Genomic DNA, 20,759 nt, shown 5'->3' on the forward strand with positions numbered 1-20,759 from the left:
TTGTAGTAGTTTTTTTTATAAAAGGAAAAAATGACTTGAAAAATCAAGTAATTTGACATGTAGACACAGGGAAATTACATTCGAGGCAGAGAGCAAACGACAGGCATGTGACTGTAGCTGACAAGTGTCAGCAGATTGTGGGCATAGTTTAGAGTCTAAGACATCTGGGGGAGATGAGTTTCATCATTAGATGAAGTCATATTCTGGAGGGGAATAAATGCTAATCTGAAATACTATGCTTTCAATTGCCAGTGAGGAGAAATTGACAGTTTTGAAATAGTGGTTTCAGGAAGGCTCTCCTGAGAAGATGGCACTGAGGCGAGCCTTGAAGAAGGTGAGAGGGGAGAAAGATTGGCCTGTGTTCAAGGAATCAAAATAGTTCGCTAGTTCAGAGACAGGGTAAAGCAAATAGACTGGAGTCTCATTCAATGTCTTTAAAAGTCATGGAGAAGAGTTAGTATAGTTTCTAATCCATGAGGACTTCCTGAATGATTTTGCCAGGACTGTACTTTAAGATACTGTTTCTTTCCAACCCCCCATCAGATAAGTCATACCACTTTTCTGAAGTCGAATAAGTGAAGGGAAAGAGTGGACAAATTGTTATCTAACAGGGCTCCCTCCCCAGGAAAGGACTCCTTCGTCAGTAAGAGATGTGCACGTGGTATAACCAACAATGCTACTTCTGGGTATGTCCACACTGCTGGAGCTCAGAAATGCACAATGAAAAAACAAAACGGGTTGTGGAAGTGTGTATACAATCTGTTACATTTTTGAAAAACACATAACACAATGCTATATTCTGTTTATGCATGTGTGCTTATGTAGAAAAAGTCTGAAAACCTGATCTGCATAAGCTCTGAGTTCATAGGAGTTATGACCATGGGAAGAAGTAGAGGGGTGGGATGAGCGCATGGGATACTGAACTCAGCTATGCTGCTTTACTTCTCTGAAAGAGGAACAATCTTAAGTAATCATGGTAAAATGTTAATGTTTGTCCATTTCAGGGTGGGGAAGGAAATTTAGGTCTGTAATTTAGGAGAGAGGTTGAGGCCAGAGCCAAGATTGGCAGTTGTGATGAGTATGTGGTTACATCTTCACTTTTTTTAGAACTAAATCTGGATGTCAATGGCCATGTTTAGTGGGCCAGGGGCCTTACATTACTTTCTTGCAGCACTGATGGCTTTTGTTTGAGGCTGCACAAATTCCTGCATTTCCCTTGGGTTGAATGGTAGGGATGCGGGCAGTTGGTGACTGGGTGAACCACCTGACTTGAGCAGGGCTACGACTCTCTCTGCAAACGAAACCCAGAGACATGAACAGTGCTGAGATTTCTCAGTGGTTTCCCATGTAGGCTGCTTTCCAAGGGCAGCAAGCATGGCTTCATCACTCACCCAGTGCTTCTGATTCAGCACTGTGATGCTCGGTTAAGTTTTAATGAGGTTTTAAATTTTTTCGTATGTTTGAGTGTTTATGCAAACAAAGATGCTGAATTGTAAACACCAGCAATCTGAGTACCTTCTTTTGATTTCTCTCTCCATATTGTTTAGTCCCTTTTTCTTTGTTTGTTTTATGAAATTGCATAGATGTTTTGGTTGAGAGTAGATTGTTTTTACTTTTCAGGGACAGGCAACAATTTCATGATATAACTTCTAAAAATATTTTAAACAAGTATGAAAATAGTTTTTTCTTCCAAAAAACCATTTCTTCATTTGGCACATACACAAACAAATGAGCAGAATTTAGAGTAATTTAGAGACAGAATTTAGATAATTTGGGTGGGTTTTTTTTTGGACAGTCTTGCCCTGTTGTCCAGGCTGGAGTGCAGTGATGTGATCTCGGCGCACCACAGCCTCCTCCTCCCAGGCTCAAGCGATTCTTGTGCCTTAGCCTCTCAAGCTACAGGCACACACCACCACGTCCAGCTAATTTTTGTATTTTTATTAGAGACGAGTTTTTGCCATGTTGCCCAGGCTGGTCTTGAACTCCTGGCCTTAAGTGATCCTCCTGCCTCGGCCTCCTTAAGGGCTGGGATTACAGGCATGAGCCACCACAGCCGGCCTAGTGTGAAAGCAGTTTTTAAGGACAGTTGAACAGGAAAGCTCCTGGATTCCTGCACATAGATCTTGTGCCCCTCCAAAGTGCCGTAAGTACCGATTTCTGCTGTCTTGATTTAACTCAGTGTCTGGAGCTTACGATCCTTCCTCTCTGTTTCCTTCAGTGGCGTAGCTTGGGGGTGTCAATTAAAGAGTTATTGCAAGATCTCAGCCTCTGAAAGTTTAGCTTATTCATCAGCAAAACTTTAAGCAAGTCTCACCTCTTCTAAATTAGAATTGTAACCTTGACTTTAGTCTCAGAGTTAACATTGTGCAGAAAAAGAAAACACTGCGCAGTGTTGAAGCAGTTTGCAAACTGAAATGATACAAATGAAAAATGCTATGATGTTTCTCAGTAGTCTCTGTATTTGCAAATGAGTCAGTTAGGATTAGTTTTACCCACAAATAACAACAACAGTAAAAAAAAAAAAAAAAGAAAGAAAGAAAGAAAGTGACCCAGCACTATAATACAAGTTTATTTCTCTCTCACATCAAGGAAGTTCAGGGTAGCCAGTCTGGGCTGGTTTAGCAACTCCTTGATCATCATGGGTTCTGTGCTACCTGGTAGTCCAGGATGGTTGCACAAGCTCCAGCCATTGCATCTGTATCCCAATCAGCAAGAAAAAGGAAGAAAGGCATACCCCCTTTTCAGGAGGCTTCCTGGAAATCACATACAACATACCTGGTTACATCTCATCAGTGACCTTAGTCACACAGCCATACTTAGCTGCAAGACAAGCGAAGACATTCAGATTCTACCTCTTCTTCTTGAAATAGAAAGGTGAGTTGCCAATCCACTGTCAGCGTGACGACAGTTCAAGAGGTTTTCCTAGACACAGAGTTGAGTTAATCCCGTCATCTGTGTCATCGTCTCTATTTTGACAGCATCTGTCAGGTGGTCAACCAGAGTTTAGGCAAGAAGACCTATGACTTCTCTACACAGACATGATTAGGATTATCTTCTAAATCAACCAAACTGACCAGCCCACCCTTTCATTCTTCTGTGCATCACAGATCATTTTTGAAAAAGAGTTTAGGACACATCCAATAGTAAGAGTGTAGTTTTATAAATCAGGACTCAGTCTTACAGTGGAAGATTATATGGTAGTTAGTGTCATGGAGAAAAGCTTCATATTAGATTAGTTGAATCGATTGGGATACAGAACCGTCTTTAGAGCATGGCATCGTTACATTGCAGATAAAGCATGTAGGTAGAGAATGATATCTTTGTTGGGGAGAGCCCCAAACTGCTCTTCAGGAACCTTTCTCCGAGATTTGCAAGCCAATTAGGCATAATGAAACCTTGTTTTTAATGCATATCTTTTGCCAGTATAATAAACATAATAATTAAATGTTTATATATCTTTCGTATTTTCCTGTATAATACAACTAATCATATTTTTGTCAGGCTGAGGACATCTCAAGAGGAGGGAAAGGTGGCAAATTGAGGGTCTGTTCTTCTTTTATACCAGATGGCAATTATAACAAATTACTTCTGGACTTAGGGATGGGGGAGGGGTGGGGAGATGGGAACATGAGAATTATTCCTGATTTTTGTTACTTTTTGTCCTGTAAAATATGCTTACCAGGCCGGGCACGGTGGCTCACGCCTGTATCCCAGCACTTTGGGAGGCCGAGGCAGGCAGATCGCCTGAGGTCGGGAGTTCGAGACCAGCCTGACCAACATGGAGAAACACTGTCTCTACTAAAAATACAAAATTAGCCAGGCGTGGTGGCACATGCCTGTAATCCCAGCTACTAGGAAGGGTGAGGCAGGAGAATCACTTGAACCTGGGAGGCGGAGGTGGCGGTGAGCTGAGATCACGCCATTGCATTCCAGCCTGGGCAACAAGAGCGAAACTCCGTCTCAAAAAAAAAAAAAAAAATGCTTACCGGGACATCTCAAGGACATCATTCCTTTGTCAACGGTACAAAGATAACCTGAGACATAAAGTGAAAATGATTTATGGTTTTTTGTTTTCTTCCTTACATTAAATTTTCCAATAACATATCGCTAATAACATATTTCTTTTGTTTTGAGACGGAGTTTTGCTCTTGTTGCCCAGGCTGGAGTGCAGTGGTGCAATCTCGACTCACCGCAACCTCCGCCTCCCAGGTTCAAGTGATTTCTCCTGCCTCAGCCTCCCAAGTAGCTGGGATTACCTGCCACCACATCAGGCTAATTTTTTGTATTTTTAGTAGAGACGGGGTTTCACCATGTTGGCCAGGCTGGTTTTGAACTCCTGACTTTGTGATCCACCTGCCTTGGCCTCCCAAAGTGCTGGGATTACAGGCGTGAGCCACGGTGCCTGGCCAACATATTTCTAATAATATATTAATTTGATAAACAGAAGTTATTTTGGAAATAAGCCAAAACAACAAAAAATGCTCATCCCTGCTTTTCAAGGCTATTATCTGTAGTTTGAGGTTTTATCAAATGTAGATATGAACTGCGGGCCTCTTCAGGATGTCCTCATTGCTTCTGTTAATGCTTTTACCATCCAGTACCACTGAACAGGCAGCAGGGTGCCTTCTTGGGCACACCGGAAGGACCCAGGAAAAGGAAGATAGTGTGGCCTGTTCTTGTCTCCATGCCCCAAAATGGACCACTACACCAGTGGGGTAGGAAATAGCAGGTGTGTTATGGGTTGAGTTTGGAGACCTTGACTTGATCAACCATCTGCTCACCCAGGTCATCTTTCCTTTTTTTGCAGAGGTGAGGTCTCACTATCTTGCCCAGGCTGGTCTCCTGGGCTCAAGTGATCTTACCGCCTTTACCTCCCAAAGTGCTGGTATTACAGGTGTGAGCCACCATGCCTGGTTCTTGTCACCATTCTTAACATCAGCAGCAGCAGAAAAACCCCCTGTTTAGCCTTCAATGTTAATTTCCTCCTTGATCTATGTGTTCTACACAAACCACTCCCTTGTTGTCCCCCATATATTACATTTGTGGACTCTTCTCAAACTCTGCAGCTCAGCCCTGGTTCCTGCTGAGCCTACAGCCCCAGGCCTGAGCAGCCGGCTGGGCCAAGTTACCCTCAGTCTCAAGATGACTTCCTCACAAGGCAAAACATTTCTCCAGCTGGGTTGGAGACCTAAGCTGGGGAACTGGGCTCTCACATTCCAAGATAGAGGTTTGCCTATGGACCCCTGAAAGTAGGCGTGTAGAAGCAGGTTCCTCTGATGGCAGAGGCCCTCTGTTTATCTCTGAAAGATCCTGAATGCTATGCTTCTTTCATCCCCTCTGCCTTGAATTCGCCTGCTTTCTAGGTGCGGTGGAGAAAGCTGGGAAAAGAGCCACCTCTGCTCCCAGGGGCCACTGAGAGGGTAGAACACTGACCGAATCCCAGACTCACTACCTCAGGGGCTGAGATGGGTCCAAAGGGGCCCTTAACCTCTCACTTGATCACCTGACTCTTACCGCTGTCATTGATCTGACATGTTCTCCTGGGCGCTGTCCCAGCTCTGTCCCAGCTTCTCAGCACTGTGTCCTGGTCAGCCCTGAGGGCTCATTTCCTTTATCCATACTGAGGACCAAGACCTGTCTTTCCTGTAGGGCAGTGAGGGCCACGGGCTAGTGCCTGAGCCGATGAGTGCACTGCTGGTACTGTGCTGAGCCCTGGACAAGGGTGTAGGTTGCTCTAAAAAACAACTTCCCAATATTCTACAAAATAACGTTCAAACTGAACAGAGCTTGACTGAAGATTCTTCTTACTTCATTTGTTTTCATGCTACATTTTTGCTGTCCGGCTCCAAGTCTGTGACAATGGGTCACGGGATCAGTGCGAGTAACAGTGAAGATGTTTTTCTTCATCTTTGGGCTATGATTGTGCTTTGTGATCCTAAGTATAAATACATTGAGGCTGGGCACGGTGTCTCACACCTGTAATCCCAGCACTTTGGGAGGCCAAGGCAGGTGGATGCCTCGAGCCCAGGAGTTCGAGACCAGCCTGGGCAACATGTCAAAACCCCATCTCTACAAAAAAAATACAAAAATTAGCCAGGTGTGGTGGTGTGCACCTGTGGTCCCAGCTGCTCAGGAGGCTGAGGTGGGAGGATCACCTGAGCCCTGGAGATCAAGGCTGAAGTGAGTTATGATCGTACCACTGCACTCCAGCCTGTCTCAAAAAACAAAACAAAAAAAATACATACACTGACTAATAACACCAGCAATATTGTTTCATGGGAGCTGCCTCTGCTGTTTGTACCAAAACTGAGCAGATTCTTTAGGCCAGGCCCGAGTAATCATTAAATCGATCTGCTTGTGAGAAACCGGTAGGTCTAGGCATGAGCACAAAGTGGCAGGTCCGTCTCTTCCCTTCTTAAATAAGGAATCACCAGAGGTAGACTCTGTGCCTGTGACTCTTGAATGTTTAACTGAAATCCAGAGCAGCAATTGCATTTTATATGACACCATGTGTGTGCAAAAACTGAATCAAAATCTTGTGAAACAGTGCTACTTTCACTTACTATATATGATGTAGTCTAATAATTTTCTATCCTATTTTATTTCCTTTTTTTAAATGCTGGTTGAAATTCTGTAAATTTATATAATGACAAACTACTGGGACTCTATCTTGGTTCAAAAGTCCATGATCAGCCTGCTTGTATTGAGTTACTACATTGTACGATCTTATAATTGTAAAGTTTAAGATATTTTCCTTCTGTCTGTCTTAATTTATTCTGTAATCTAAGTTGTCCTGCCAGGAATGCTGGCATATTTACTTTGTTTTTGAATTCAATAATCATAGTTTCTCTTGCTAAGTTACATTAATGGTACCAAAAAAAAGTTACTGCATGGTTTTTGAAACTGTTCTTTCCTAGGAAGTTTTAAAGTAAAATGTTTTTACCTTTTATTGTTTACACAGGTTAAGCATCCCTAATTCAAAAATCCAAAATCCAAAGAAGTGCTCAAAAATCCAAAGTTTTTTGAGTGACAACATGATGCCACCAGTGGAAAATTCCACACCTGATCTCGTGTGGCGGGTTGCAGTCAGCATGCAGTTAAATCTTTCATATATGCACAAAATTATTAAAACTATTGTCCAGGGCCAGGCACAGTGGCTCACACCTGTAATCCCAGCATTTTGGGAGGCCAGGGCAGGCAGATCACTTGAGCTCAGGAGTTCGAGACCAGCCTAGGCAAGGTGATGAAACCCTGTCTCCTCTAAAAATACAAAAAAAAAAAAAAAACATTAGCTGGGCACGGTGGCACACACCTGTAGTCCCAGCTATTTGGGAGGCTGAGGTGGGAGAATCACTTGAACTGGGTGGCAGAGGTTGCAGTGAGCCAAGATCATGTCACTGCACTCCAGCCTGGGCAAACAGAGGGAGACCCTGTCTTAAAAAAATATATATACATATATATATATAGTTTAGGCTATGTCTATAAGGAGTATATGAAATATAAATGAATTTCATGTTTAGACAGGGGTCCCAACCCCAAGATATCTCGTTATGTATATGCAAATATTACAAAATCTGAAAAAATTTAAAAGCCAAAAATCACTTCAGTCTGGTGCCAACCATTTTTGCATAATTGCATTTTCCATGTTGCATTTTGCAACCATTTTGCATAATTCTGTACTTCTTTCCCTTTTGGGTTTGTTTTCATAACTGCTCAGTAAAAAGTGTTCTGTGTCATCTTTCCATTATTTTGGGCTAAATCATGTTAATGGCCAAGCCTGTCAGAATTCATTTGTTTTGAGTTAACTTCCTGGTGTCCAGTTCTCAGGAGTTGCAAGAATAGAGCTCTTCCCTCATGCAATCATCCAAAATCCCAGGCCTCTAACCAGGATTGGGGAACACCACTGTTGGCCAAGAGCAGAAGGCTTAAAGCTCTGGTCATAGTCATGGCACTGTACAAACTGTTCTTGTTCCCTACAAGAACATGGGAACTATTTGGATAATGGATTTATGAATTTAATTCTGATGGATTTTTATAAAGGAGCTAAAAATAAGCCTATATAATTTATTACATGTATAATCATATAATTTTAAATGTGTATAATTTATAATATTCATCGAAACATTTCTTTTTGGAAATTAAATTTCACTTTGGTCAAAATCATCTTACAAAACAAGATGACTCATGATGGTTCTAAATAATGTAAACCGGTGTCTGTAACTAATTAATGCTCTGGAGGAAGGAAATTCTGAGTTCTGACACAAAAGCACGTCTAAGTGGTATTGGTATTTTCAAAGCTTTTACTACAACCAAAAATATGTTCACGTGTACCTGTCTCCTCTTTACACTGCTTACTTTCTCTATCGCTTTTCCCAAATACGTCCCCAGTAACTTCCTCATGTTCTGTGCACCACCTCCAATCTTCCCCTAATGTGTATGAACTTGGTCATCACCAAAGAGGTGGAAAGGAAGAAGGGCATGTGCTAATATTAATATTGAGGTTTGGGCTGGGTGTGGTGGCTCATGCCTGTAATCCCAGAATTTTGGGAAGCCGAGGCAGGTGGATCACGAGGTCAAGACATTGAGACCATCCTGGCCACATGGTGAAACCCCGTCTCTACTAAAAATACAAAAATTAGCTGAGTGTGATGGTGCACAACTGTAGTCCCAGCTACTCGGGAGGCTGAGGCAGGAGAATTGCTTGAACCAGGGAGGTGGAGGTTGCAGTGAGCCGAGATCGTGCCACTGCACTCCAGCCTGGCAACAGGGAGAGACTCTGTCTCAAAAAAAAAAAAAAAAAGAAAAAAATTGAGGTTTGTGCCAGTTTCTTTTTCCTTTAGGTCTCCTGATATGTGTCTAGTTAGTTCTATATACTTCCTGGAAATTCGACTCCAAGATATTTAATAAAACTAAACAGGGTTATATGTTGAATAGACAAATCCTAAAGAGCAGAAAGGATTTAGTGGTTAGTGAAATTTCATTGACTTAAGATGAGTTGGATCCTCAAAATTAATATATTCTAAACAAAGTTCTATTTTTAAGCTGCAGTAATAATGCCGAATTTCTCTTATAGTTAATTGAATGATTTATCCTGGTGTTGTCTCCTGGTAGTCACTGAAAAAGTCATTACAATCCTCACTTTCTCCCCTTTAATTCAAGTTCAGAATTCATGTGTTGCTGTGACTTTTTTTGAGTTTATCTGCAGACAGCTGCCATTGAATAAACATGTTTATATAGGGCAGAAAAAGGCAGCCTGAAGATTCTACTTTCTATTTCTTTTAGCACTGTTTGGCAGTTAACACCAACAGCGCTTCAGAATGAGGTACTGTCCAGCATACACCTTGCTTGTTCCTCTACAAAGCTTCTATTTTTGTTTTTGATTTGTTGTGAGGAAGCAAAGTGTAGCCTTTACTTGAATGAAAGCTACAGTTTTATTTTTCTTTCTTATTTACAAGAAATTCTTTTGATGATTAAGTTAGCCAGATACGCCCCGTGCGCTCATATTTCTTAACCTATTTTGAGCTGAGCTAGTTGCAAGGACTAGTTCTTCTGTGAAACCTCTGGCAGTCCATAAATTCAAGTTCGTGTCCAGACGTAATGGTGAACTCAATATGTTGTATATTTGATATATGTTTGTTGCACACATGGAGAGAAAAGTTGCTACCATTGTGAAGTAGCCATGAAATCCGACAGTTCTAATTTCTTTATCTTCTGAGTACCCATGGAATAAAGGACCTCTTAGTGCCATAGCAAGGCAGAAGTTTAATTTGCAATTCTGGTGGCAACATCCAGGTATTTCAAGTAGAAATTAAGAAAACTTTACGGAAAAACTATCTCAGCACTTCAGTTTAACTATTTTTCAAAGTCCAAGGAGGGTTTTCCCCAGTGTAAAAGCAGAAATGAGAATTTCAGATCTAAAGCGGTTCTTGCCTTTTCTTTTCCCTCCATGCACATGTGCTGACAACAGAAAGTAAAATTTGAAAAGAAAACCCAGGCTAGAGCATTGGGGTCACTCATTTCCCATCCAGCGAAGGGAGAGCTGGTGCCTGGCTGGGGGAGGTTAGGAAGGCAAGTCTTGGGATCTGATCACTCGGCTGGGAGTGGGTAAAATACCTGGACCTCAGGAGGCCGGATTGCAGCGCCAGTGTTCTCTACCTGTGTGGCCTGTTCCTGCCTGGGGTTGGGTACCAAGTCCAGGTGGAAGTGGTCCCTGGAGCATCCTCTCTCTGAAGTGTTTCTTTGTCAAACAGAATACTCCCTGCTGCTGCCCCAGAACTCATCACTGTTGACACATGGACCAAGAACTAGCAGAGGAGGTGATTTATAATCTCTAAATGAATTGCTCTAAAAGAGACAACAAGCACTCTGACTTAAGTAAAGGAAGGGAGGGTGGGTGGAAAGGAAGGAGGATCATAAAGAACATTCTAGATTGCATACTTTGGTAATCACAGCAGGGCCTTATTGCAGTTAGAACAAAAGCCTGGACACACTTACCTCTCAGTTCAGGAAAATAATTTAGAGCTACTTGTTAAATGCTGGAGTATTATTGAAGTACCAAGTGTTAAGATTTTCACTGAAAGCAAAACTGACCAAGCAGCTCAGCTAGGGAAATGCTATGTGATCAGTTGATTGTTTGATGAGGAGTATGGAGCAGGGACTTTGGCAGAGGTTGCTAGCAGACAGGCCTTGGTTTTAGTCCAAGCTCTATCGCTTAATAGCTGTGTGACCTTGGGGAAAATTATAAAATTTTCCAGTCCTTAGTATCATAAACTGTAAATGGAGGAGAAAGATGCCTCACAGATGTTGAAGGTGAAGTGAGACAGGACACCTAGTACATTGCCTGGCTACATAGAAAATGTTTCACAAATGTTAACTTGAGGCCCTCTCCCCATGCCTCGGTCTCTTAGAATGGTTTTTCCCCATCGTGTGCACATTGAGCGGTAAGGCGGACAGCTGCCGCCGCCCATGCTGCCCCATGTTGAGAGCATTTCTGTTGACCTTCCCTTCTTCCCTGTGAAGCTGGTTCAGCAGTCACCTCATCACTGTTTTTCTTCTCCAGAGAGTGCTGGGTTGTAGCGACCATACTGTTGACGCAACACATCCCAACCACGCTGGACGGAATTTTTACTGCGATAATTCATATTCCAGGATCTTACAGTGCACAGGGTTACAACGATTAGCATAATGATCTTGCACAATCTTTCTGCCTAGCATGTAGTGCATTCGTAATATTCTCAGAGGAGGCGTCTAGAAAGCGCCAGGCTCCTTCCTCCTGCGTGAGCCACTGCAAGCTGTCGGCGCCTCAGTGCTATGGAGACCTTGGGTGGATTATTCCTTGTTGGCGGGGGGAGGGTCCCAGCTGTCCTGTGCATTATAGGATATTTAGCAGCATCCTTGCTAGATGCCATTTACAACAATCAAAAATGTCTCCAGGCATTGCTAAGTGTCCAGGTGGGGAGCGGAATAGGCAGAACCGCCTCCAGTCGAGAAGGGCTGAACTGTACTTAGGATTTGTGATTCTGCAGAAATGGGTTCTGTGAATGCACTAAAGCATGAGAACATCCAAAAATCAGTGTGGCACAGAACTGAATTCAAATTTACCTGGATCCAGGTAAATAAGCACAATTTTGAAAGTACCAAACAGAATTCAAGAAAAACAACAACAACAACAAAAAACACATTAAAAACAGAAAAGTTGGCCGGGCGCCGTGGCTCACGCCTGTAATCCCAACACTTTGGGAGGCCGAGGTGGGCGGATCACCTGAGGTCAGAAGTTCGAGACCAGCCCGACCAACATGGTGAAACCCTGACTCTACAAAAAATACAAAAATTAGCCGAGCGTGGTGGTGGGTGCCTGTAGTCCCACCTACTCGGGAGGCTGAGGCAGGAGAATCGCTCGAACCTGGAGGGCGGAGGTTGCAGTAAGCCGAGATCGCACCATTGCATTCCAGCCTGGGCAAAAAGAGTGAAACTCCATATCCAAAAAAAAAGGGGGGAAAGGTCAGAAAGACGTTCTTTTTCACTAGGTGATGAATTAATCTTTCCCATCTTTGTCATGTTAAAAATGTGCCTGTGGCTGTTTCTCCACTAAATGAAGACACTGGCACACAGATGATTGTGTGTAAACACTAGGCAAGACACTAGGCACAATCGTAGGGGTTCAGTAATTATTGAATGAGAAGAAAGAAAGGTTGTTCTTGAATTCTGTGATGTGAGTGTTTAATGATGTTTTTGAGGAGAATGCCATATGTAGCAGACAGAACCCTGGGCTGGGCATCAGAGGGACCGGGGGCACCACACTGGGCTTTGTGTCATTATCTCCAGAAAGTAACTGGCCTGGTGCACAGGAGAAAGTTAGAGTACATTGTCCATACAGTTCCCACATAGCTGTAGGGTTTTATGAACCCATATTTTAAAGGGCCTTCTAATGAAGTGAGGATGTTAATGCTTTTTTTTAAAAAAAAAAAAAAAAAAAGAGAGAGAGAGATTGGTGATTACTTTAAAATCTGAGTCCTGGCCAGGACTCACGCCTGTAATCCCAGCACTTTGGGAGGCTGAGACGGGCAGATCATTTGAGGTCAGGAGTTCGAGACCAGCCTGGCCAACATGGTGAAATCCTGTCTCTACTAAATACAAAAATCACGCTCCTGTAATCCCAGTTACTTGGGAGGCTGAGGCAGAAGAATCACTTGAACGTGGGAGGCGGAGGTTGCAGTGAGCCAAGATCACACCACTGCACTCCAGCCTGGGCAACAGAATGAGACTCCATCTCAAAACAAACAAAAAAATCCAAGTCCTAATTATCGCTGCAGCTTTCTTTAATGTGTGCAGTAAGGTGGGGACATACAGAATAACTTAAGATGTAGAAATCGTCTCTCCCTCCCTGAAGAATATCATGGATACTACATTTGCCTGCCAGGAATGTTGTGTTGTTCTGGTGTTCTCGTTTCTGCCGTTATCATTGTTTCTGCTTAATTTTTACAACACAACTCTGGCCGCACCCGTGGATGATCATGGAAAGGCAGCTGCCTGGCTTTCCAGAATTGTTTTGACTCTCCATCTGAACCCAGAGCTCTGTTTCCTGTACAGGTTGCTAGCAGTATTTACCCAAATTGTCCCTTCCCAACTCAGACCCACTGACCCTTCCTTTCTCAGCTGATTACGGGTTTAAGTTTGAATCAAACCATGCTATAGAATCACTATCTAGCAGCTTCTGTGCTTGCACAATAAGAGTATTAGTCAGCGTTTCCTGTTTTCATTCATATTGTAAGTTGAATAGCTGTAACAAAAGGGAAAGAGATTGCCAAGACAAATAATTCTTATGGCTTGTGCAAACAATTTATTACAAGCCTTATTAAATATGCAGCTTTCAGAAGTCTACGTGATATGCCTTTCAGCAAAGCTAAATCCTACTATGTGGACTTGCTTCATGACTTAAGAACAAGTCTATATTGAATTTAACATTAAATAATTATTTGGCCTGTATCTCTTTTAAGCTTTGTTAAGAACTGCAAATATGATAAGGGAATAAATTGCTCATTTCAAGTCACTAAGAAAACCTAACCTATAGGTTATATATGTTGGCAGTTCCCAAGAAGTACCTAGGAAATGGAACCTTCCTATAAGAGTGGTTTGTCCCCTTCTCACGAGATGGGTCTTCATATCAAGGCCCCCTAAGGCACAGATACACAGCACTCCACAGTGTCCAAGTTCGTAGTAATTGGTGGCACCTTATTAAAGTAGTTTTTACTTTCATAATTACTGATTACACATCAGCATACCTTTTCCATGTTCTGTTTCCTTGGCAGCCTGATATTTGAATACAAACGACATAAAAGTGATTACATGCAGCATTTCAGGACAGTTTTCAAACTGAGAGAATTTGGCACTTTCTTTTATTTTCTTCCCATTCTTCGTCTATTTCCTTTGCATTTGGAAGCCAAACTCCTCGAACCTTTACTTCTGCATGTTGTTTTCGTCCCCTAGCTAGAGTTCTCTTTATTACTACTTTTTTGTTTCCAATTGGTCTCTTTTTAAAAATAAAACATGGTGAAACCCCATCAATACAAAAATTAGCCGGGCATGATGGCGGGTGCCTGTGATCCCAGCTACTCGGGAGACTGAGGTGGGAGAATCAATTGAACCCAGGAGACGGAGGTTGCAGTGAGCTGTGATCGTGCCATTGCACTCCAGCCTGGGCGACAAGAGTGAAACTCCGTTTCAAAAATAAATGAATAAGTAAATTAAAATATGAAATTAAGCTTAGCTAGCCTGTGTAGATGTTTTAGATGGTCATATCTTTATCGGATATGACATTTATGCCTTTCAGTAAAACCATTGTAGTATTGTAAGAAAAAAAGGGAAGTATGATAGGGAGGACTAAGAACATATTTGTACTTCTATGTAATGCTATTTTATGTGTCTATTTCCATTGAAGTGTGGCCTTGACATCACTGGCTCCCAAGTCCCATCCTGTTTTTTCATTGACCTGCTTGTGCCAGGTACTGCGTTAGGAAGTGGAGCTACCAGATGAATAAGGCGTGGTCCCGCCCTCCATGTGGGAGACGGCACGTCAGTGTACTTAGGATGCTGCATGTGGTGACAGATGAGGGCCCTGCAAGGGAGCACACCACAGGGCCGGGAGGGTGGGATGGGCGGGAGGAGTAGCCAACTTTGCCCGAAAGCATCAGGACAAGCTTCCAGGAAATGGCACATCCAAGCTGAGTCTTGGACAGCGGGTTAAAGAGGCAGAGAGGGGAGAGAGGAATGTTCCACATGGGAAAAGAGGTCTGGAGGTGACAACAAGTAACATAGAGTATGTGGGCTGTGCCGGAAGCTTGATATTACAGAGGCACGAAGTCTGAGGCAGGGAGTGTGAAGGAAGATGAAGGTAGGGGAAGGAAGTTTACACAAGGGTGGCCTTGACTTTTATATTAAGGCACTTTAGGGAAGCAGGAACCACTGAAGACAGGAGAACATGGTGACTACACGGGCGCATTGAAGGGGGGAGGAGCTAGGTTTTTGAAGGGAATTTGAGCTTGCAATTTTTCAAGGGCATTCAATGGTTATAAATGAAACTTTTCATTAATATATTTGTGTCCAAGTGTTTTTAGATGTGCTTTTCTGCTACTCTCTTTTTATTTGGTTTGGAGATAGATGGTGACTTTCCTTCAGTGCCTTCTATGTGTCTTGACATGTTAATGTCTCAAACACATGGTCCGTATCATCATGGAGCTTGCAATCTAACAGGGTAGTTTAACACATAAATATGCATCCAGTTGGAAAGAACTTAGAGATCACTTGATCAGCCCCCGTTATGTAAAATGTATGCAACAATCTACCTCCAACTATAGGGCGACATTAAACAGTTTTTCAAAATACCATGGCATTGAAAAAAATGCGTAACATTTGGGTTACTTCAGTCCCACTCCCCGGTACTAATCAGGCCAGTGAACCAGTCTTGCTGGTGAAATAATGACTTCTCCAGTCATGATGGATGATTTCCCTTCATCATGACCATTTCTTCCCTGGCTCTGCCTTTACCTATGAATCTCTTCTTTCCTCCCTCTCCTTCCTCCTCTTGGTCTCTGCCTGCCATACCCAACTCCACATTTCTCTGCTTGGAAAAATCCTACTTGATTCTCAGAGCCTGACTCCATCACCCCCTCTCTCCAACCCTCCCAGGCAAACTCCGTCCCTCCCAGTGTGCCGCCCTCCAGCTCTCTCTAGTTGAATAGCAGATGTTCTCTCTCCCACTTCCCTGCAGGGCTTCAGGGTAGTGACCCTAAGAGTGAGCTTCTACCAGTGAGAAAAACGCCTGGATGGAGCAGGAATTCCCACAAATGCTTAGGAATTCAATATGATTTTTAGCAAGTGGGAGAATTATCCTTTTGGTTACAAAGATGTGAACTATTTTTGTGAGTTCTCAGTATGCACCAAGAAAAACCCCAGTGACTCAGTAATGTACCTGTGCCGTCTCACTTAACCCTTCCAACAAGGAACTTGCCAAGGTGCACAGCTGGGAGGGATCCGGGGTCCCGTCCGTGTGCTAACCTGCAGGACAGCGCCGCATAATCCAGTACTGGGGCCTTATTGTCCAGCCTTCCACCTCCAGGAGCCCACTCAGTGATGACTTTTGACAAAAGTCACCCGGATTATCCCTCTTTTGGGGTCCATGATGCCACCAACGGCTAAAGTTAACAAATGCATTACCAGGAGGTACCACTGAGGTAAGGATTGTTACTGTAAGTGATTTTCTCTGATTTTGACCACTACAAGTAAAATCACAAGATTTGTCCCAAATACTATATAAAGAGGAATGTCTTTTATTTCTCGAAATTGTTCTGCCACTTTGTTTGTTCAAATAACACATAATAAAGGATAAATGGCTTGTAGCTATATTTATCCAAATTGAACATTTTTGATGTAATTTTTTTAATTTGTCAAAAGCATATCAATGGTCATAAAAATTTTTTATGTCCTCTGGCCCTATTACCTTACCCTTGGGAATTTATTCCAAGAACGTAATTTGAAAGAGATTAAAGCACATAGGCACAAATATTTTCAGTGCAGTATTGTTTATATTGGAAACAACCCAAATGTTCAGTAACAGGGGGAACAATTTTGTAAATCTTGCTACAGCAACTTAACAAAATTATAAGCTGCCACTTATAATTGTAAATTTTGAAAGTTTGTAGCACAGCAAGGAAACTGATCATGTTAAATGTTTCTGATATCTTAGTTAATTTTTCTCCCGCCAGTTCCGATCGGTGTCCTGGTCATACCGTCAGCATATAAGTATGTATTTCATAAACATTTACTTTGTATTAACTCAGTAGTATTCCCTTCCTAGAGTGGTTTGCTTCCCAGATTGTAATGGACAATCATCTCACCTGGGGATCTTGTAACAATGTGATTCTGATTCTGTAAACTTTGTGGGGAGCCCAAGATTCCACATGTCTTAGAGGCTCTCAGATACTGCTGATGCTGTTGATCACGAATCACGCATTGAGCAGCAAGGTCCTAGAGCTCTTTGTGTATGAAGAAGATACTACTGACCCAGTGCCTCGCTATCTTGAAAGGCAGCTGTGACCTTTCTAGCAACTGAGGGGGTGGGGACTAGAAACGAGTGTTTTCTGGTGTTTCTCTAATAAAGCTGCTGTCTTGTATCCAGATTGACCATCAGTATCCTTATGCCCTTCAACTAACTTGAAATTTGTCAGTTAACAGAAATTACTGGGTGGCACTAAAATAAATTATTCTTAATATAAAGGGTAAGAAAGGGTCGGGTGTGGTGGCTCATGCCTGTAATCCCAGCACTTTGGGAGGCCAAGGTGGGCAGATCACCTGAGATCAGGACTTTGAGACCAGCCTGGCCAACATGGCAAAAACCCGTCTCTACTAACAATAAAAAAAAAAAATTAGCCGGGTGTGGTGGTGGGTTCCTGTAATCCCAGCTACTTGGGAAGCTGAGGCAGGAGAATCGCTTGAACCCGGGAGGCGGAGGTTGCAGTGAGCTGAGATTGTGCCATTGCACTCCAGCCTGGGGGACAAGAGCGAAACTCCATCTCAAAAAAAAAAAAAAAAAAAAGAGTAAGAAAGGATCTTCCATTGTAATCATACTATCATTGCCTTTTGAAACAATTTGGAACCTGATTACAAAGTTGAAAATCCCCATCTGTATGAAGAAAAGCTTCACTGGCTGGTCACCTTGGCTCAACGCCTGTAATCCCAGCACTTTGTGAGGCTGAGGCGGGTGGATCACAAGGTCAGGAGTTTGAGACCAGTCTGGCCAACATGGTGAAACCCCATCTCTACTAAAAATACAAAAATAAAAAATTAGCCAGGTGTGGTGGCAAACACCTGTAGCTACTCAGGAGGCTGAGTCAGGAGAATCGCTTGTGCCCGGGAGGCAGAGGTTGCAGTGAGCCGAGATCATGCCGCTGTACTCCAGCCTGTGCGACAGGGCAAGACACCATCTCCAAAAAAAAAAGCTTCACTGTGAGTTATGATATGGGAAGAAAAGTCTTGGCCTGGCCACCACAAGGAATCCCTCAGGCCTGGCGGTGGGAAGCAGAGGAGGGCGCAGTCTCTTTAGGGCAGAAAGTGAAGAACATTTCTATGACAATGGGGAAATCAGTTCACCTTTGTGTTGGTAAACAAAAGGAATGTAAGCTGTCCTTTGAGCTCGAATCATAGTGGTGATTGCCAAAACCTACCTTTGTTTTTAGAAGATAATAGCACATATTCCACTTGCTTCCCCACAGTGACCGAAGCTGGCTTTGGTGCTGACATCGGAATGGAGAAATTCTTCAACATCAAGTGCCGAGCTTCCGGCTTGGTGCCCAACGTGGTTGTGTTAGTGGCAACGGTGCGAGCTCTGAAGATGCATGGAGGCGGGCCAAGTGTAAGTGCCCACACCGCCTTCCTAATACCAAAGAAATTTCATTATGTTAAAACAGAATTGAGCATTTGAAAAATTCCTGCCCATTTAATGACTATAGTTTTCTAGAGTATTTTTCTTAAAACTTTTTTTTTCCTGTAGACCTCCCTCGTGGACATCTAAAACGTTTTTTGTTTTGTGTTGTTTTTTGTTTTTTCCCAACACCACCATAGGGCACTTTGAGTTTAGTAAGTTCGAGTAAACAGTAACACCCACAGTTCTTTCTAAACAATATTTTGGAAAGGAGCATAATGCAACCACTTTTTAGTCTCAAGCTTCACATCTGATACTCAGGCCAAGATTGTATAACCATATGGTAATGGGAGGTTAGAGGCTCTTGTCCCTGAACGAAGAACAAGAGGATTAGAGTGAGTTCTTTGATGACAGAGATTTTTCATTGTTTGTACAGATAGTTTTTCGGTTCACTGATGCTGCAACTCATCAGATTTCATCTAAAACTATTTTCCTTCTCTTTCTGTTTATTATGATTTCTCCTCACAACTCTGTTATAATACTGGATTGTTTCTAAGAGCTTTGCTTGGAAAACACAAATTCGATTTTAACTTCTTTAAAGACTTTTTATATTTACCTATCCTAATATATATAGAAATTACAGACATTATAAAGGAAATATATTCCTTTCCACAGAAAACCTGTGCATAGATTTTTGGGGGTTTTTTTGTTGTTGTTTGCTTGTTTGTTGTTTTTTTGTTTCATTTTTAGGAATTTCCAAGTGGAGAATAAGACATTTTATACTGATTAATCATTTTGAAATAAAATAAAATTTCTCTATCATAATATTCACATATGAGACGAACTGCCAAATCTGATTTCTTAATTGGTATACTGTACTGTGTATGTGACAAAAGTCATATATTCAATGATTATTGCATAGTCAAAACAAGTAGCAGGTTTGCCATCATGAAACGCTGTAAAGCAATTCTTTCTCCTGGGAGAGGTGGACATGATTTTTATACCATTTTACAGATAAGGAAGCTGAGTTTTGATAGGCTTAGGGAATATGGACAATGTCAGCAGGCCAGCAGAGAGCCGAGAACTTCAGATCTAAATCTCCTACTATGTCCACCATGCAGAGCTGGATGTTAATGAAGGGCAGAAGTTTTCTAAATCCAAATCCACTCCTAATACCCGACACTTAAGCACTTCATTTTTGCCTAAAGCTTCATCATCATTTCAAATGCAAGAATGATATAATACAGATTAAAAGTAGTAAATCATAAAGAATTCTGACTTCACTCAAAACACCCCTTGTTGCTACAGTCCTTCCTGGATTTTAGACATTGAATCTGTATAACAACTTCTATTTTTAAAAACTACTTCCGCCCATGTAGGATGCATTTGGAATTCTCCCTCCCTGCCCTGCCACCCTGAAAATTATAGAAAGGGCTTAGAGATTGTCTGATCTCATTCAGTCTTTATAAAGAGAAAATCTCTGAGGCACAGGGAGACGCAGTGACTTGAGTGGTGTCACACATCTATTTCAGGGACTGATCAGATCTACAGTCCTGGTCTCTTGACATCAGTCCCATAGTTTTCCAGACTCTGGTCTCTGTCCTGTAAAAATTCTCTACATGGTTTACAATCCTATTTCATTCATCTTAACATATGTGCTCTGTTATTCAGTGGTTGCACTTTCGTGCCACATTAATCCTTTGTGTCTCTTCCACTGCTGCTTAATGTCATGGTTCTCAGCCAGTGATCATGGTAACATGGAACAGGGTTAGTAGGCACAGATATGGGTGGAGGATAAGAAAAGGTGGGGACCAGCCAGGCGTGGTGGCTCATGCCTGTAATCCCAGCACTTTGGAGGCTGAGGCAGGTGGATCACCTGAGGAGTTCAAGACCAGTGGTGGCGGGCGCCTGTAATTCCCACTACTCAGGAGGCTGAGGCAAGAGAATCGCTTGAACTTGGGAGGCAGAGGTTGCAGTGATCTGAGATTGCACCATTGCACTCCAGCCTGGGTGACAAGAACAAAAGTCCATCTCAACAACAACAACAACAACAAAAAAAAAAAAAAAAAAAAAAAAAAAAAAAACCAGCAGGGACCAGGAAGCCCTGTGAAGCTAGGCATCCCTCTCCTGGGCTCCAGTAGTACCTTCTGCCTCACATTGTTTCATGAATGCCTTGTTCTGTGTCTCCCTATGTAATTCTCAATTCCTTGAGTTTAGGGACTGTGTCTTATTAATTGGTATGGTCCAAGTGTCTGGCATGGTCTATATGCAGGGAGTGTTTTCAATAATGGCAAGATAAATGAACTTTCATCCTCTTAATCCTCTATTCCATAGTGCTCATCTC

General features: G+C 42.4%; 1 protein-coding gene across 28 annotated transcripts in view, besides 2 other annotated features; it reads left to right on the forward strand.

The window, feature by feature from the left end:
- Positions 1 to 20,759, forward strand: part of MTHFD1L (methylenetetrahydrofolate dehydrogenase (NADP+ dependent) 1 like) — a 236,186-nt gene that overhangs the window by 125,851 nt on the left and 89,576 nt on the right. For 23 of the 28 annotated variants that reach the window (NR_146719.2, NR_146720.2, NM_001242767.2 and 20 more), the window contains one exon: positions 18,267 to 18,406. Coding sequence is in view for 24 of the 28 variants with exons in the window: in NM_001242767.2 (NP_001229696.1) it covers positions 18,267 to 18,406 (140 nt within the window). In the remaining 4 variants the exon portion in view is untranslated. Of the gene's footprint in view, positions 1 to 1,871; positions 16,798 to 18,266; positions 18,407 to 20,759 lie in introns of those variants that run through there. The other 5 variants (NM_001350490.1, XM_047418619.1, XM_047418616.1 and 2 more) reach the window with 5 other exon arrangements.
- Positions 17,404 to 18,142: an enhancer, noted in NCBI's record as "OCT4-NANOG-H3K27ac-H3K4me1 hESC enhancer chr6:151330092-151330830 (GRCh37/hg19 assembly coordinates)". NCBI's record gives its function as "activates a minimal SCP1, AML or CMV promoter by ChIP-STARR-seq in naive and primed H9 embryonic stem cells {active_cell/tissue: H9 hESC(naive and primed)}" and the evidence as "EXISTENCE:reporter gene assay evidence [ECO:0000049][PMID:30033119]".
- Positions 18,143 to 18,879: an enhancer, noted in NCBI's record as "OCT4-NANOG-H3K27ac-H3K4me1 hESC enhancer chr6:151330831-151331567 (GRCh37/hg19 assembly coordinates)". NCBI's record gives its function as "activates a minimal SCP1, AML or CMV promoter by ChIP-STARR-seq in naive and primed H9 embryonic stem cells {active_cell/tissue: H9 hESC(naive and primed)}" and the evidence as "EXISTENCE:reporter gene assay evidence [ECO:0000049][PMID:30033119]".

This window comes from Homo sapiens, chromosome 6 (assembly GCF_000001405.40).
Source record: "Homo sapiens chromosome 6, GRCh38.p14 Primary Assembly".
NCBI classification, from domain to species: Eukaryota; Metazoa; Chordata; class Mammalia; order Primates; family Hominidae; genus Homo; species Homo sapiens.